The sequence below is a fragment of the Homo sapiens genome, chromosome 15 (assembly GCF_000001405.40).
Source record: "Homo sapiens chromosome 15, GRCh38.p14 Primary Assembly".
Classification (NCBI taxonomy): domain Eukaryota; kingdom Metazoa; phylum Chordata; class Mammalia; order Primates; family Hominidae; genus Homo; species Homo sapiens.
The window spans coordinates 77,618,736-77,634,517 of NC_000015.10; the positions used below are offsets into that span (position 1 = coordinate 77,618,736).

At 57.0% G+C, this 15,782-nt stretch overlaps 1 protein-coding gene and 1 long non-coding RNA gene across 16 annotated transcripts in view, besides 6 other annotated features; one reads left to right on the forward strand and one right to left on the reverse strand.

Moving 5' to 3' along the window:
* The window catches only part of LOC105370906 (uncharacterized), a 61,603-nt gene extending 49,877 nt beyond the window's left edge, over nt 1-11,726 (forward strand). Inside the window, exon 4 of the long non-coding RNA XR_001751806.2 lies at nt 11,550-11,726. This is a non-coding gene — a long non-coding RNA (uncharacterized LOC105370906). The remainder of the gene's footprint in view (nt 1-11,549) is intronic.
* LINGO1 (leucine rich repeat and Ig domain containing 1) overlaps nt 1-15,782 on the reverse strand; it is a 207,874-nt gene that overhangs the window by 5,709 nt on the left and 186,383 nt on the right. Inside the window, exon 1 of one of the 15 annotated variants that reach the window (NM_032808.7) lies at nt 13,575-14,177. The exons of the other annotated variants lie outside the window; for them this stretch is intronic. Coding sequence (NP_116197.4) covers nt 13,575-13,580 — 6 coding nt within the window. The 5' untranslated portion in view covers nt 13,581-14,177. Of the gene's footprint in view, nt 1-13,574; nt 14,178-15,782 lie in introns of those variants that run through there. 15 annotated transcript variants of the gene reach the window in all.
* Nucleotides 2,904-3,419: an enhancer, noted in NCBI's record as "H3K27ac-H3K4me1 hESC enhancer chr15:77913981-77914496 (GRCh37/hg19 assembly coordinates)". NCBI's record gives its function as "activates a minimal SCP1, AML or CMV promoter by ChIP-STARR-seq in primed H9 embryonic stem cells {active_cell/tissue: H9 hESC(primed)}" and the evidence as "EXISTENCE:reporter gene assay evidence [ECO:0000049][PMID:30033119]".
* Nucleotides 3,420-3,935: an enhancer, noted in NCBI's record as "H3K27ac-H3K4me1 hESC enhancer chr15:77914497-77915012 (GRCh37/hg19 assembly coordinates)". NCBI's record gives its function as "activates a minimal SCP1, AML or CMV promoter by ChIP-STARR-seq in primed H9 embryonic stem cells {active_cell/tissue: H9 hESC(primed)}" and the evidence as "EXISTENCE:reporter gene assay evidence [ECO:0000049][PMID:30033119]".
* Nucleotides 4,968-5,483: an enhancer, noted in NCBI's record as "NANOG-H3K27ac-H3K4me1 hESC enhancer chr15:77916045-77916560 (GRCh37/hg19 assembly coordinates)". NCBI's record gives its function as "activates a minimal SCP1, AML or CMV promoter by ChIP-STARR-seq in naive H9 embryonic stem cells {active_cell/tissue: H9 hESC(naive)}" and the evidence as "EXISTENCE:reporter gene assay evidence [ECO:0000049][PMID:30033119]".
* Nucleotides 11,036-11,601: an enhancer, noted in NCBI's record as "H3K4me1 hESC enhancer chr15:77922113-77922678 (GRCh37/hg19 assembly coordinates)". NCBI's record gives its function as "activates a minimal SCP1, AML or CMV promoter by ChIP-STARR-seq in primed H9 embryonic stem cells {active_cell/tissue: H9 hESC(primed)}" and the evidence as "EXISTENCE:reporter gene assay evidence [ECO:0000049][PMID:30033119]".
* Nucleotides 14,996-15,559: an enhancer, noted in NCBI's record as "OCT4-NANOG-H3K4me1 hESC enhancer chr15:77926073-77926636 (GRCh37/hg19 assembly coordinates)". NCBI's record gives its function as "activates a minimal SCP1, AML or CMV promoter by ChIP-STARR-seq in naive and primed H9 embryonic stem cells {active_cell/tissue: H9 hESC(naive and primed)}" and the evidence as "EXISTENCE:reporter gene assay evidence [ECO:0000049][PMID:30033119]".
* Nucleotides 15,001-15,130: an enhancer, noted in NCBI's record as "active region_9898". NCBI's record gives its function as "activates an Ori minimal core promoter by ATAC-STARR-seq in GM12878 lymphoblastoid cells {active_cell/tissue: GM12878}" and the evidence as "EXISTENCE:reporter gene assay evidence [ECO:0000049][PMID:35858748]".

Genomic DNA, 15,782 nt, shown 5'->3' on the forward strand with positions numbered 1-15,782 from the left:
CCCGCCACTACGCCCGGCTAATTTTTTTGTATTTTTTTTTTAGTAGAGACGGGGTTTCACCGTTTTAGCCGGGATGGCCTCGATCTCCTGACCTCGTGATCCGCCCGCCTCGGCCTCCCAAAGTGCTGGGATTACAGGCGTGAGCCACCGCGCCCGGCCTGTTATTCTTATAGTAGTGATTTTATGAAACTGGTATATAGCACACCTCATTCCCATAGTGATTTGAACCAACTGACAGAAAAATTATGCTACAAGATGATAAGAAGATAAAAGCTAAAAAAGGGAAGCCAGTCAGGAAAGAATGCCACCAAGTCCTGCCTAATGACGAAAGGTGAGAGCTTCCTAGTGACCTTGAGCAAAGAGGGAAATATGCTCCAAAGCCTCAGCATTTGGCATCTCTCCTGTAATGTAATCCTGGTTCAGTCATGGGTGTGTGTGTCTCACCTGCTAGAGAGTGAGGTACCCAGGGGCAGAGAGTATGTCTGTAGCTCAGAGTGAAGTGTGACACAGAACAGACCCCCGTGAATGTTCTTTGAAAGGAAACATGCGCATGAGTGAGTTTTTGCAGGGGTGGAAGCCCTGCAGATGGGGCTAACCCTATATCAGGCCCACTGAGCAATGAGAGACCTGAGGAATTGAAGTATGTTGGAAGCCGGGCATGGTGGCGCTGCAATCCCACTGTTATCCCATTGTAATCCCAGCTACTCAGGAGGTTGAGGCAGGAGGATCACCTGAAGCCAGGAGCTCAAGACAAGGCTGGGCAACATAGTGAGATGCCCATCTCCCACAGAAATTTAAAAATTAGCCAGGCATGGTGGGGTGCACCTATAGTCCCAACTACTCAGGGAGATTGAAGTGGGAGAATCCCTTGAGGCCAGGAGTTTGAGGCTACAGTGAACTGTGATTGTGCCACTGCATTCCAGCCTGGGCAACAGAGCAAGACTCTCCATCTGTAAAAACAATAAATAAATAAAATAAAATAAAATAAAATAAAATAAAATAAAATAAAAAAGAAATACATTGGTAGAAAAGCTGGGTCAGCCTTGCCCTGTACAGCTGCCACCCCCAGGCCTGGCAGTTGGTCCCACAGAGCCATGGGCCATGCTCCGTGGGAGCAGGACAGCTCTGGGAGTGTACGGGCTCTGAGATGCCTCATCTCATGCCTCTTACATGCGGCTGCCCTAACGGTGGGGAAGCTGAAGGTTGAGAGAGGCTAGGATGCCTGCCCAAGCTGGCACAGCAAGGGCACAGTCTCCGCTGGGCCTAGTCTCCTGGTCTCCCACCCCCATGGGGTCCCTGTCATCTAGGGATGCTGGCAGAGTCACGTCTGCGGGGTCACCCAAACTGCTGAGTGGGCAATGTGCCGCTCCTGCCATCCTGGCACTGTTCATTCTGCTGGCTACTCCTGCAACTGTCAAGAAAAGGTATTTTATGCATTTTAATCAGTGTTTTATTTTGGATCCTTGCCCCCTGAAGGGCTTCCTACAAGGGTAAGAGTTTAAAAATTGAACCAATAAATACTAAGGAAATAAAACATCAAAGACAGGCAGGTGGGCAGGCAGCAGAGAGCTGTGCCTGGGGCACCACACACAGAACCTAAAGCATCCAGAGTCCTTCCCAGGCTCAGGCAGTGGGGGACACTGAGCCATCAGACCAGCACTGCAGAGGGCAGGTCCTAGGCTCTGCGCTGCCCCCACAGTGGGAGGGACAGGCTGCTGGCCACCGGCCACACCCTCCTTCATGTCCCGGGGCAGATACGGCCTGGTTCAGGCAATGCTCCCTGACACACGCAGTTCTCTGTGGCCAGCCTGCTGTGTGACCTCGGCAATGCCTGCCCTCTCTGGCCTGCACAGTAAGGGCTCCACTTCAGTGTCCCTGAGGGTGCTGCCACCAGAAACTAGCCTTTTTCCAGCTGGAAGGTCGACATCCTCAAACCTTGCTAAAGGGTAAAGGGGAATGGGAGGCTCAGACCCAAAACTGCAGTTTCACTGGGGCTGGAAGAATCTCTCTGTGGGAGGGGGGCTCAGGATGGTGGGCTCCCTTCCTTGGGGCATCACATTCAGGGCGTGCCCCCAGGGTCTCAGGGTGAAGGACGGTAGTTAGGGGAGATGGAAGGGGCCTGGGATCACCCATGGACAGGTTCAGAGAACACTGAGAGGGCTCAGGAGTCACTCTGTGCCATAGGCAGCATCTGGAGGTCCAGGGGGGCAGGGACGTGACTCCCCCACAGCATCCTCTACAGGCTCATCCACCAGACACCTTCTTTAGAAAAGGGAAGGGACTAACACTTGGACAGTCCCTGCTATGGGCCAGGTTTGGGGCCTTTTTTTTTTCTTTTAGATGGAGTCTCACTGTGTTGCCCAGGCTGGAGTGCAGTGGCGAGATCTTGGCTCACTGTGACCTCCACCTCCCAGGTTCAAGTGATTTTCTGGCCTCAGCCTCCCAGATAGCTGCGATTATAGGTGTCCACCACCACACCAGGCTAATGTTTGTATTTTTACTAGAGACAGGGTTTCACCATGTTGGCCAGGCTGGTCTTGAACTCCTGAACTCACGTGATCCACCCACCTCAGCCTCCCAAAGTGCTGGGATCACAGGCATGAGCCACTGTGCCCAGCTGAGGTTTGGGGCTTTATACCCATTGTCTCAGAGATGCTTTCAAAAGAGATCTTTCTTACCCATTTTACAGATGAGAAAAACAGAGGCTCTGAAAGAGAATTTGCCCTGGGCCTGGGTCACAAAGCCAGAGGGGGGCAGAGCTCTGTGTCTCCTAGTTGGGCTGCCTGCTCCAAGAGCTGCCTGGTGCGACACAGGGCTTAGACTCTGCAGGCCAGGCCAGGGGAGGGGCTGTCCTGTCAGGGTGGTGCTAGGGTGAGGCCCCAGGGCTGAGGGAAGGCCCTAGTCCTCAGAGAGCTACACCCAGGCATCTGCCCCCAAACCCGACAAAAGCCTTTCCCCAACTTCCAGAAAACGGGGTGTTACACGAGCCACGTGTACTCAGTGTTTTTCCACCACACTCCTTTCCTGTGCCTGCGGCTGCTGCCTGGGCCTGAATCTCACCTAATGTGGGGCTGGCTGAAGCACAGGATGGCAAGTTTAGTTATTCCAGGTTTATGGTATCAGTATTTCACGGTGCTCCCACTCAGCGTTCCTCGGGGACCAGGGGGACCCCCTGCACACACAGGCATGCGATCTGGCATGGAGGCGTCTGCCCCACGAAGGCTGGGGCCCAGGGTCCTCTGGGTGCTCAGCCTGGCTGTGTGGCCAGGGCAGTTCCTCACGGGGAAACGAGGTGGGTGTGCGCGGTCCTCGTCTTGCCTTGATGCCCGCCGTGCCCGTGACTGATTGGGCAGCAGGAGAGAGGGAGCGGGGAGGATGGCAGGCCTGGGAAGGGGGCTAGAGCACTTCGGAAAGTCTGCCCAGGGCTCTGCCCAGATCCACTGCCAAGAAATGATGGGGAGAGCAGGAGAGGGAAAGAGAGAGAAACCCAGAGACACCCGGGAGACACGTGGTGGGTGAGGCTGCAGAGGAGAGGAAGAGAGAGGCAGAGAAAGCAGAGTGGGGGGAGGGGAGAAAGATGGGGACACAGGCTGGGGGCAGGGAAGGGAGAGACAGAGGCCAGAACTTGTCCTGCAGGCACAACTACGTTCCCAGCCCCCACCACCTGTGCCTATCAGCCTGGGGCCTGTTAACACAGCCCCGTCCCGGCCACTCCACCAGGTGAGTCTGAGCACTTGCATATCTAGCTGGGGAGGGAGACTCAGAAAGGTGAGGGGACTCACGCCGGATCACCAAGGAAAAGAAGCAAGGCCCAGCCTGGGCTCCTTGTGACTTGTCCTCTCCCCAAGTCCCTGCCTGCCTGAGGTCCCTTCTTTGCTTCAGCTTCAGTATGCGGGATCCGTTTCAGGAAACGATAAAGCGTGTTAGCGGGAACTGTGCCTGCTCAGAGATAACTGGGGTCAAGTGGCCAGGAGTGGGGGCGCAGTGGGGCCCATCTAGAGAGGACTGTGACGGTCACCCCAGCCCGGGTTTTTCCTTCTGTCGCAGCGGCCAACCATCCGTTTCCCATGCCTAGAGGCCTCCTACTCGGCCTTCAGAAGCAGCTCAGGGTTTCTCCCTCAGTGGCTCTCCTCTAGCCTGAGAAGAAGCAACGGCCTCTGGCGGGTCCCCTCTGGATCTCCGGCCACCCTCTGCCCACACTGCTTCTGGGCTTCTCCCAGCTCTGCTGGCACTTCTGCGGCCTCCTCTCCTGTGGCCCCCAGACTGACAGCCTCCGAAGTGGGACCGGGCCTGATACAGCTCCACACTCCCAGGCCCTGCCTGCAGACGCACCCACATCAAAGGAACAGAGAGAGCCCACCAGACAAATGCTGCGAGGGGCAGGACTCGCACTCTGCTCTCCAACTCCCAACCTAGCTCTTAATGAAGGAGGCTTTGTGGTGAGGGGGAGGTGCTGTGTGAGCTCAGGCTGAAATACAAACATTTTCCACAGGCCAAGGAAGAGGCAGGGGGAGGGCATTTCCACAAAGGGAACAGTGAGAGCAAAGGTGTGCAGGGGGGAAGGGACTTGTAGCCTGGTCAACTTGAGAGCATCCTGGGACTCCTAATGGCTTCTCTCTTAGCCCAAATCCTGACCCCAGTCCCTGGACTCCTTTTAAAGATGCTCCATTCTGGCTTTCCAGGGCTAATCCCCGCTGAGGTGTGAATGGCTGATAATGGCATAAGGTAGGAGCTGCTAATGGGAGAAATAATTCCGTTGCTGGCCAGTCTAATTTGGGGGGCTGCCTCCTGGCCCATGGGGAGGTGGTGAGGCAACCCTGAGAGTTGCAGTCCTGCGCCCAGGCTGAGCTCCTGCAGGAGAAAGCCTGGCGGACTGCGCGGCTGGGGGCCAGGCAGCCAGTGTCCGCCGTCTCCCCGGGGGTTGGTCCGCCCCGCCCCCACCTGCCTCCCCTTTCCCCTCCTCCTCCTCAGACCCCCATGGGGACAGAAAAACCAACGTGGAAGAAAACTGAGGTCATGTCCTTTGTTGTGTATAATTCTTTATCTTCCTCTTGCTCTCGGTTCTGGCAAAAAGTTGTTGGGCCCCCGGGGTGTCTGTGTGTGTGTGTGTGAGTGGCCTGTGTGTGTGTGTGTGTGTGTGTCTGTGTGTGAGTGATGTGTGTGTGGTCTCTGTGTGTGACTGATGTGTGTGTGTGGACTGTGTATGTGTGGTGTGTAAGCAGTCTCTGTGTGTGTGGCCTGTGTGTGTGTGTGATGTGTGTGAGTGGCCTTTGTGTGTGTGGTGTGAGTGGTCACTGTGTGAGTGTGGTGTGTGTGTGAGTGCGGTGTGTGAGTGTGGCCTCTGTGTGTGTCTGTGAGTGATGTGTGTGTGTGGAGTGCGAGTAGTCTGTGTGTGTGGCCTGTGTGTGTGATGTGTGTGAGTGGCCTCTGTGTGTGTGTGTGTGTGTGTGTGTGTGTGATGTGTGGCCTCTGTGTGTGTGTGTGTATGTGTATGGTGTGTGAGTGGCCTCTGTGTGTGTGTGCTGGTTGCCTCTCCTCCCCCACTCCCCGGCCCCCAGCTCCATCACTCAGGTGCGCTTTGGGAAGCTCCATCCTCTCCCACATGTGCTCACTGGCCTCAGTGCCTGCTGGAGGATGCTGACTGGGCATGGTGTGATTGTCTGCCTGCTTGTCCTGGGTCACCCTAGGCACGCACTCGGCCACCCTGCACTGAAGGGAGGAATGCCCCTGCCCACCTCACCAAGGCACAGCCATCTCGAGAGCTGCCAGCCTTCCGGCCAGCTCGCAGCCCCTGGCCATTTGCAGGATAAATTATGAATTTTAATTGTCAGAGCATCTTAGTGTTTAAAGGCTTCTATATATAGGCTCTGCCCTCCAGGAGCAGCAGGCTTGGTGGAGAGGAGTGAGAGTCGGGCAGGGCTGACAGGAGGCCCATTCTGGATGAGCAAAATGGGCTCCAGCCAGTGCACCCCACCCTGCTGTGTGATCTCGGGGGAATCCTGGACCACTCTGGGCCCTTCCTGCCCCTTGCACAAGGTTGCCCAGTACCCCCAGTTGGATGGGAGCTGTCCCAGAGCTGAGGTGGGGCAGGCAAGTGCCTATTCGGGGGGGTAACCTGAGAGAGGCCCAAGGACAACCCCAGTCCTGCACCCCAGTATCTCCCTTCTCATGTCTTGAGATGCCAACCCAGGCTCTCGGGGACAGGAAGATGCCCCTCAAGGCCCCCAGCGCCATCCCCTGCCCAGGCCAGTGGCCCCTTGGGACACGCTTGCCTCATCCCCACTCGTCCTCTCACACCTTCCTGGGGCCCCCAGGGGGAACCCTCTCTGCAGCCCCAGCCGTCAGGGCCTCTCTATTTGGGAACAGCTCAGGCCTGGAAACCAGCCAACCCCCGCCTGGGAGAGCTATAGGCCTTGTGCTTGGGGTGGGGGGTGCCACAGCCTCACAGACTGAGGCTGGTAGTGAGAGGCTGAGGGGTGTGGTGGAACTAGCCTGGGATTTGGGATTAGCCAGAGAGCTAAATAGAATGACGATGAGAATGATGATTGGTAAACCCCTCGTAGGTGGCCTTTGGTGTTGCCAGGCGTTATTTCAAGCCCTTTGCATATAAAAATTCATTTAATCTCACACCAACCCATTGAGGTAAGTGCTGCCACTATCCCCATTTTGCAGATGGAAGAAGCAGAAGCACAAAGAGGTTCCATAACTTGCTCGGGGTCAGTGTTAGCATGATTTGAACCCCAATGGTTTGGCTCCAGAGTCCATGCTCTTCATCACTTCCCTATAGTGCCTCTTTTTTTTAAAAGCTAACACTAACATAGCATTGGCTATGTGCCAGGCATGAACCTGTTTGATCTCCATAACCACCCTAAGAGGCTAGTATTATCCCCATTTTACTGATTAGAGAACTGAGGCGCCAAGAGGTGATGCACCTTGCCTAAAGTCCCGCAGTGATGAGTGGCAGACCTGGGACTGGGCCTGAGGCAGTCAGACTCCCAGCTGTCCTGCCCACTCCTGCATACTGCCTCCCTCTGATTCAGGTTCAGGGGCCTGCTGAGCTGTGTCATCTTGGGCAAGTGGCTTTACCTCTGGGGACCACAAATTCCTCCCTGGGAAGTGGGGACGGCAGACTTCACACTGCCCTCACTGCTGGGGGCGGAGAGTTCAGGGAGAGGGAAGGGAAGGGACATTTATATCGAGCACACACACTAAGTGCTTTGCTGAACAACCCCACCAACCCTCACCACGTTACACACCCACTTCACTGATGAGGAAACTGAGGCTCTGAGCCATTAGTTCACCTGCCTGAGGTCCTGAGCTTGTCTGGCTCCAAAGGCATAACACCCTTAGAGACCCTCACACAGATGAGGAAACTGAGGCCCAGGAGCATCAGGGACTTGTTCAAGGTCCCACAGAATCTCTGGGCTAGGGCCTAGGAAGGACCCCAGCATCCCAACCGCGGCCACTTTCTCTCCCCAACATCATACAAGGGTCACATGGCCACCCCATGGCGGGGCTGGGTCAGGGACAGGTGAGAGAGTTTGGGTTATTTCTGCCTCAAAAGGGGAAAAGATTGAAAAATAACCCTCTAAAACATCACAAACCAAGGTCCAGTGAGTTCTGTTTAACATGGACAGGCAGATTATAAATAAAACACTTGCCTCTCTCCTAGCCCTGGCAGTTCAAAGCCCTCTCTACTCAAATCAATCTTGGCCACGCCACTGCCAGAGTCCATTTTTCCAACCTGGTAAACTGAGCCCAGTATCCAGGAGGTGATGGAGCCTCCAGTCAGACACATACAGGAGGAATGTCCTGTTCAGGCACAATGGATGCCACTACCCGGCTGCCCGTTCATAAGAAGCCCAGACTTGGGGGAGGAACTGGCACCTCTGCAAATCTCTAAGGAGCTTATCAAGGCAGAGGCTGCAAAGGTCTACTGCAGGCCCAGAGAGGGGAGCCAAGACCCATGGGTGGGCTCACAGGGAGGCCCATTCAGCTCAGTGTGAGGAATCCGATGAGACATTAGACGGCTCAGGACAGAAGGTCTGCCTCGGTAGTAAGTAAGAAGCCCATCATGGGAGGCATGCAAGCTGAGACCATGGATCAAGGCTACTGCAGGAGGCCTCCTCTGCTGGGATCTACACCTCAGTAGCCCCTCTCAGCTCTGAGATGCCCCCGTGTTGCATCCAAGTAAAGGGACTTGAGATGGCCAGTCCCCGCCCCCCCAACCCCCCATCCGCAGCCCTGCACTGGGCTAGGCAGAAGAAGCGTGCTGGCCAGGCCCCCACCCCCTCCCAGAGGCGAGAGCAGGTTCTCTGCAGAGGGAAGTAGAGGAGGTGGCAGAGAGAGATTAATTCCCTGAAAGGGGAAAAAATAGAAAAACACACACACCACACACCCTAATAACATGTAATAAGAGGTTGGAGACGAGGAACAATGCCCTGGTAATGTCACCCTGGCGGCAATCAATTTGGGTGTCACATGAAATAGGCATAATTATTCCGCCAGCCCCGGTGCTCGTCTTTAACCAGCTCCAGGGGCCCAGGCCCAGGCAGAAAAGGCAGCGTGGAATCAATCGTTGGTGTACCAGGCTGGCAAAGGGAGCTGCTCCAAATTAGCCTGCCAGCACCCAGCTTCTCAGACCCTCTGGGCTGGCAAGGATCTGGAGGGCCTCGCGGGTCGGGGCCCTGCAATGCCCCGGAGTCACCTTGCTCAGCCACCCCTCATTCGATCCATGAGCAAGAGCAGTCAGAGAGGACTCCCCAAGCAAGTGAGAATGGAGGAGGAGCAAGCACACATTTGTTCCATCCGGGGTTCATTCCCTGGGTCACCAAACTCTTATTAAGTGCTCAGCAATGCCAGGCTTCATGCCAGGTGCACAGGGGGGCTGTGCAGGAGGAGGGGATGCTAAAATAATGAAACACAGGCTCCCTCCACCTCTTAAGCTAGGACCACTCCTTCCCATCCTGGGGTAAACACAAAGCCTCTGGGGTTCCTGGAATTTGCTGTCCTTTGTTTGCACTAAACATGCAGGGACTTAAGCCCTTCTTGCTCCTCCTTCATCCTACTTGCTTGGGGAGTCCTCCCTGATTGCTCATATCCATCCCAGACTTCAGGGATGGTAAAGACAGCATCCCCACAACTGGGGGAACGGGTGCCGATGGGATGACTGCTTAGTGAGCACCTAGTACACACTGGCTGCTGCCCATCTCAACCCACATTTCATATACCAGAAACCTTGAATTCCAGAAATGCAAATCAAGGCCATCATGAAATACCATCTTACATTCATTCAATCAGTAAAAATCAAGGCCCCTGACAATACCGAGTGTTGATCAGGATGGGGTGCAATGGGGACACTCATCTCCTGCTGGGGTGATGCAAACTGGTCTAACCAATTTGGAAAACACTTTGGCAAATATCCTAGTAAGAGTGAATGCGAACATGCCCTACAGGCCAGCAATTCTGCTCCTAGCTGTGTGCCCCAGAGACACTGCATGTTGCCTCAGAGATGGGATGAGAAGGTTCCTGGCAGCATTGTTTGTAAGAGCAAAAAATGGAAATAACCTAAATGTCCATTGGTAGGAGAATGTTAATTACACTTTTAGGATCACATGACAGAACATTATACATCAGTGAAAATGAGCTACAACTACTATTATTCACAACAATATAGATGAAGCTTAAATGTGATAAAGAAAAAAGGCAAATTCCAGAGGACTGCACACAGTTCATGCTCTTTTTATAAAGTTCAAAAATAACTAAAACTGAACTACTTATATATGTTAAAATATATAATTTTAAAGAGGCAAGGGATTGTGAAATACATAATTTAGAGTAGTCATTGAAAAAGAGGCAACGGGACGGGGTGTGCAGGAGCACATGGGGAGATGTACATCATTACTGGATTGCTGGTGTTTAAGTTGGAGAGTAGGGTAACAGTGTTCATTATAGTATTATTACTGCTACTACGATTAATACTAAATGCCTCGATTAATTAATTAACAGGCTGGGCCTGGATTAGTGAGTAAGAGCCCCAGCCCAGAGGTCAGGAAGAAGGCATTCTAGACTGAACCGCAGGCTTGCAAGCTGGGGACTCACAGCAAGTCACTCGCCACCTCTCTGGCTCTGTTTTCTTGGGTATAAAATCAAACCTCTGCACCTACCACCTACAAGGATAAGATCATGAGCATATCACTGATGTAAACTATGAGTAGCTAGCACTTATTACAGGCTTACTGTGTACCAGGCAGTGTTCTAAATGTTTTGCATATGTTAGCACACCTAATTGTCACGACCTCCCTTGAGGTGGATACTATTGTTACTCTCACTTTATAGATAAGGAAACAGGCCCAGAGAGATTAAGTAACTTGCCCAAAGTCACAGAACTAGGCAGTGGTGGAGCTGAGACTTGAGCCCAGACTTTTGGCTCCAGGGTCCACATTCTTAACAACTTCACTATGAAATAACATTGAAGAAACTGAACACACACAAGTAGATTGTTGTCAGCACAGCTCTACTGAGCCCACAGCACCCAGGGATATTCATTCGTTCGCTTGTTCGTTCATTCATTCATTCATTCATTCTTCCACAACCAAACAGAGGTCAGCATCAAGAATGCCTTAAATGTATTGGGAAATGAACCTGCCTTCTCACACTCTTTCTACAAAGAACCTTCCCTGATTCTGGAGTCCCCTGCTCTCTGTGTCTCTGCAGTCTGCTGCTTCCCTAGGACTCAGCCAGTCTCCCTCTCTTCCTAAAGCACCTCTGACAACCTCAACCCCCAGGGAGAAATCTCACCCTTCTCTGAGTGCCTGTGTGGGCTACTGAGTACCCTGTCTGTCTCTTCTCAACCCCTGCCTGGGGCATCTTTGACATCATCTAGCTCTGTGCATTCATGCACAGATAGTCCTTGCCGCTAGCCAATAGCTACTCCCTTGTACCTCCAAGGGTCTGTCCCATCCCAGGGGCCAGGCAGGAGGGCAAAAGGAAGGGTACTAGGATTGCTCAGGGTGTTCAAGGCAGATCATGCTTAGCCCAGAGCCGAGCAGGCAGCTTGGCTAGGATGTGCAGAACAAATGCATGCGTGACTGGGCTGGTACAATATTCAGTGCAAACAAGTGTGGTTCTATGCTGTGGGTGACTGGAGAAGGAGGGGCAATGACTTGAAGCAGGCAGAGAGGCTTCTTGGAGGAGGGGGTCAGGAGAAGGAGAGGAAAGGACCTTTTGTGAGGGGATGCGGGGCCAAGCCAGGTGAGGATGGGGGGATACGTGGAGGAACTGGTGGAAACAGAACAGAAAGCCTCCAGAGACTAACCATGGAGGTGGGTGGGGCTGGAAGGCCACTTCCACAGAGTGCCACACACAGGACAGCTAGCCCAAGAGACTCCAGCCAGCAAGCTAAGGCCCTGACTCTGAAACCACCACACCTACTACCCACCGCCCCCCACCCTTCCCTGGCTCCACTTCCCCTACCCTCCACTGGACACGCTGCCTCATGCCTCCGTGGGACCCTGCACGAATGACTGCACTGCCTTATCTCCCAACAGGAACACGCCCCAACCCCAATTGTGCTTCTCCAGATATCTGCGGCTGAAGGCGCCTGAAGAGCAGCACCACACATGAGCCCTCACCGGCACCAGGGATCCCGTCTAGCCTCATGCAGAACAACCACCCACCTCCACAAGAGGTTGTTTTTTGGGGGGTTGGGGTGGGGGAGGTGTCCCTCTGGGAGTCTGGGTTTTAGAAAACAATACCCAATATAGGAGAAATGGATGCCCAGAGGACAGAGGATGAAGATGAGCCCAGATGAAAGAGGACTATCGCAAGGGGTAAGTCTCTCCACCTCCCTCCCAGTCACACAGGGCCCTTGGCTTTGAGCACATGCCCATCCCCCTAAAAGCTGGTTCCCACTCTTTAACTCCAGAACCTGGGGAACACTGCAGCTTTAACTAAGCCCTACCCAGGGGCTCACACTTAAATTGTCAGGGGGTGAGGAGGGGGGCAGAGACAAGAACACCACAGGGTGCCTGTCCCTGCCTTCGCTAAGCCCCTTCCAGGAGGGGCAGCTGGGTGCTGCTGGGATCCCCGATGTGAGTCTGTGCCCTCTTTCAGCACGGTTCCAAGGAGTTATTGGTCTCTCCCCGGTGCCACCCTATACCCTCCCTCCCACCTCGGGCCACGGGTAGAAAGCAGGAAGGACAGGCATGCCATCCCAGTAGACCTGCTGCTAGTGCCTTCCCAGAGGCGTGAGGATTTTGAGCTCCTCCCTGGCTTATACAAGGACAAAGGGTCTGGGAGCAGCTGGCCCTCTTCTCCTCACTGACACTCTGCGCTGGATCTGGGGAAGCCCCAGGCTCTCTGCCGCCTGGGTGTCCCGGCTCATTGCTCCCTGGGCATGGGAGGCACCAGTGCTGAAGCCACTGGCATAATGACCAACAGGGTTGAGCCCAGAGCCGCGGGCCAGGCTGGGCTATGCGCCCTCTGGCTGCCCAAACCAAGCAGAGGACTGAGGGAGGGCTGGGCGAGCAGGAAGGGGCTGTCCAGATGCCACAGCCCCTACCTCAGGGCCTCCTGCACTCCCACCCGCTCAGGGCAGAGCTCTTCCCATCCTCTCAGGCCCCCTTCTGCCCCACCCCAACCCCAAGGCCTCTGAGAACAAAGAGGAGGTGCAGGCACAGTCAGGCTGGACCAGGCTGGGCTGCGACCCCAGCAGGAACCGGGAGGGGCTGCCCACTGGCCTGGCCCCACCCCTCCTTCTCAAAGTGGGATCCGCCCGGAGGGTCACATCTCCTGGCATGCCTTGAGAGCAGAGAGCCCACAGCCCACCCCGAAAAGGGTGTGAGGGGGAGCAGGAGGCTCCCTCCTTACCTCCCTCTTCTCAGCTGGTTCCCACCTCCCACCCGCTCTGCCTTAGAATGAAAAGTGGGGCAAGAGGAGGTGAGAAGCCCGGGCTGAACGCAGACAAAGGGGAGGCCCCTAAAGCGTTCCTGGGCGCTCCCGGTCCCCAACTCCCTTCCTTCCACTCTCCCTACTCCCCATCTCCTTTTCACTGGGCAGGAGCTGGAAAGGGGCGATGCTTGTGTGTGGTGGGGAGCTGCCATCCAGGCTGGAGCTTGTGGAGAAACCCAGCCCCTGACCTGTGTCCACCAGCTAGGGAGTGTCTGGTGCTGGTGGGGGCTGCCTGGGGGTACCTGGGGTCCACGAAGGGAGGTACCCACCCAGGGCTGAGCAGGGGGCTTACCCTCTAGAGTGACCAATACTCAGAATGGGAGGGGGGACAGGAAGGGGAGACCAGAGCAGGTCTGGGACACCCGTGGGGGCCCCTCCCCAGCTCCAGGCTCCCAGCTTACAAACCCGGAATTTGTTGGGGTTGGAGAGAGGGGAGGTGGAAAAGGAAGAATTTTCATTTCTGAGGCTTGAGGGGAAATCAGGCCTATGACCCCAAAGGAGGTCTGGGTGGCACCGAGGTGCCCTGCAACCCCAGGAGGGCGCAGCCAGGGCCGATGGCGGCCCCCAGGGGCACTCGCCGCGGGGCTGCCCGCTCGGGGCTCGGCCGCGGCCGCCTGGCTCACCTGCATCTCGGGCGCGCCTTCGGTCCGCTCGGCTCGGTCACCAATCGCATGTCTCTCCAGCCGGCCCGACCAGGCCCCAGCCCCTGCCCAGCCCCCTCCTCCGTTTCCTCCTCCTCCGACACCTCCGCCCGGCAGTCCGCGCGCCCTCGCGGGGCTGGCTGTCCGTCTGTCCGCCCCGCGCGGGCGGGAGCCGAGCCGGAGCCGGGGCCGGGGCTCGGGAGTGGGGAGGCGGGAGGCCGCGGCCCCGGCGGGCGGATGGGCGGGCGCGCTCAGGCCGCGGGACAGGGGCTGCGCGAGCCTGCTTCTGCCCCCTGGGCCGGCCCGGAGCCGCCGCCGCCGCCTCTGCCGCTGGGGCCGGGGTCGAGGCCGGGCGCGCTCCGCCGCGGGGCCGGGGCCGGCGGGCAGCGGCCGCGCATGCTGCTCGGCGCCCCGCGTCGGGAGAGGGGCCGGAGCGGCGCGGGTGGGGACTCCGCGCCCTCCGGGGCCGGGACCAGGACCCACCGCCGCCGCCGCCGCCTGCGCTGTCGCCCGCCGCCCGCTCCGGCTCCCGCGCCGGCTCCCGCTCGGGCTCCGCGCTCTGCAGCGGCGCGGGGAGGGAGCACTAGGAGCGAGCCAGGGAGGGAGGAGGGATCGAGGGAGGAGGGAGCGAGTGAGCCGCGGGAGCCGGGCGGGGGAGGAGAAGGCGCGGCCGCAAAACCTGGTGATGGTGGTGGTGGGGTGGGGGGTGGTTCGTCTCCTTTCAGCGGAGGGGGCGGAGAGCGAGGGGCGCCCCAGCCGCTGCCCTGCACGCTTAGGGCAGCGAAACAGGCAGGGGTGCGCAGGCGAGGGGCGCACCAGCCAGGCGCTCCAGCTCTGCACACGGCCGCGCCCCTCCGGGTCCGGGGCTCTGGGCGAGTCCCGGGCCAGCCGGGTGTCGGGGAGTCCGGCGTGCGGTCCTCCCTGGGTGTATGCGCGCACACCGTTGTGTGTGATTTTTGTGTTGCCACATGCGTGTGCATGTGAGCGCGCGAGTGTGTTTACACGTGTTAACTGGGCTGTGGACGAACACACGCACGAGGACGGACAGGGCTCCCTACACGAACAGGGTTGTTTGGAGGGCGGCATGGGGAGGCCGACCGGGAGCCCCCGTCCTGGCCCTGTCCCCTCCTCTCGAAAGTCCGCGAGGCTAGAGGGCCCACATTCTAGCGCGGGAGGGCGAGGCAGGCAGAATGGGAAGCTCCAGGGGACGGCGAGGAAGCCGCGCTGGCCCGGCAGCTCTACCCAGGAGCCGGGGTCCCCGCCCAGCCTGGCTTCCTGTCCAGCAGAGGGCGGCAGGCCTCTCTGGCCCGCTCCGTCCGGAGGCCCTGCACCCAGTGGCCAGCAGAGGGCAGCGCAGAGCCTCCGCCTGGGCTTGACTGTTCCCTCCTCCCGGAATGGTCCCGGGGATCCTCGGCTGGGGCCACAACTTCAGACGGGCCCAAGGAATGGGACCTCTCCTCGGAGATCCAGATCCTCCTTGATCCTCAGATACAGAAACTAGGCCAGCAGGGATGTCTTGGCAAAGCCTGCAGAGTAGGTTACCACCCTCAGGACCTCACCTTTTTCCCTATACTACCCCCTCCATCTCCTTGAAGCCAGACGCCCTTTACCACCAAGCCAGTTTTATTAGAATAACCATCAATGCTGACACCGCCCGGCACGGCCATCCCTCCTCCCCTGCTGGGAACAACCCATTAGCACATGAATACTCCTAATAGCTTGAGTCCACAGGGGCAGCTGAGGCTGGGGGAGGGGATCTAGCCCAAAGCCTCTCGGATTCTGGGGCAGACGCTGGAATCCCAGTTCCAGTGACACCCCCTCTCCCAGGAAGCCTGCGCAACATCATTGCAGAGATGCCTGGTTGCCACGGAGGGACCTCTCCCCACCCCCAACAGCACCTTGTTTCTCGCTGTTCAGCCTCACACACAGCCCAAAGGCTTGCACAGACCTTCTGTTCCAGCTGCACCATTTCTGGGTACTTCTCAGTCTCTCTGGCACACCGTTGCTCTGGACAGTCCTGTCTGGAGCACTTTCTCCTGTCTCCTATGTCTATGCCCATCCTCAACCTAGGCCTAGCTAGAGTCCCTCCTAGCAGGCGTCCATGCTATGCTCTACTGTGAACTGTACGTTCACCCTCCAGCAACTCTGGGGGAGGCACTATTGTTCCCCTGTGACAGAGGGAGGGAAGCC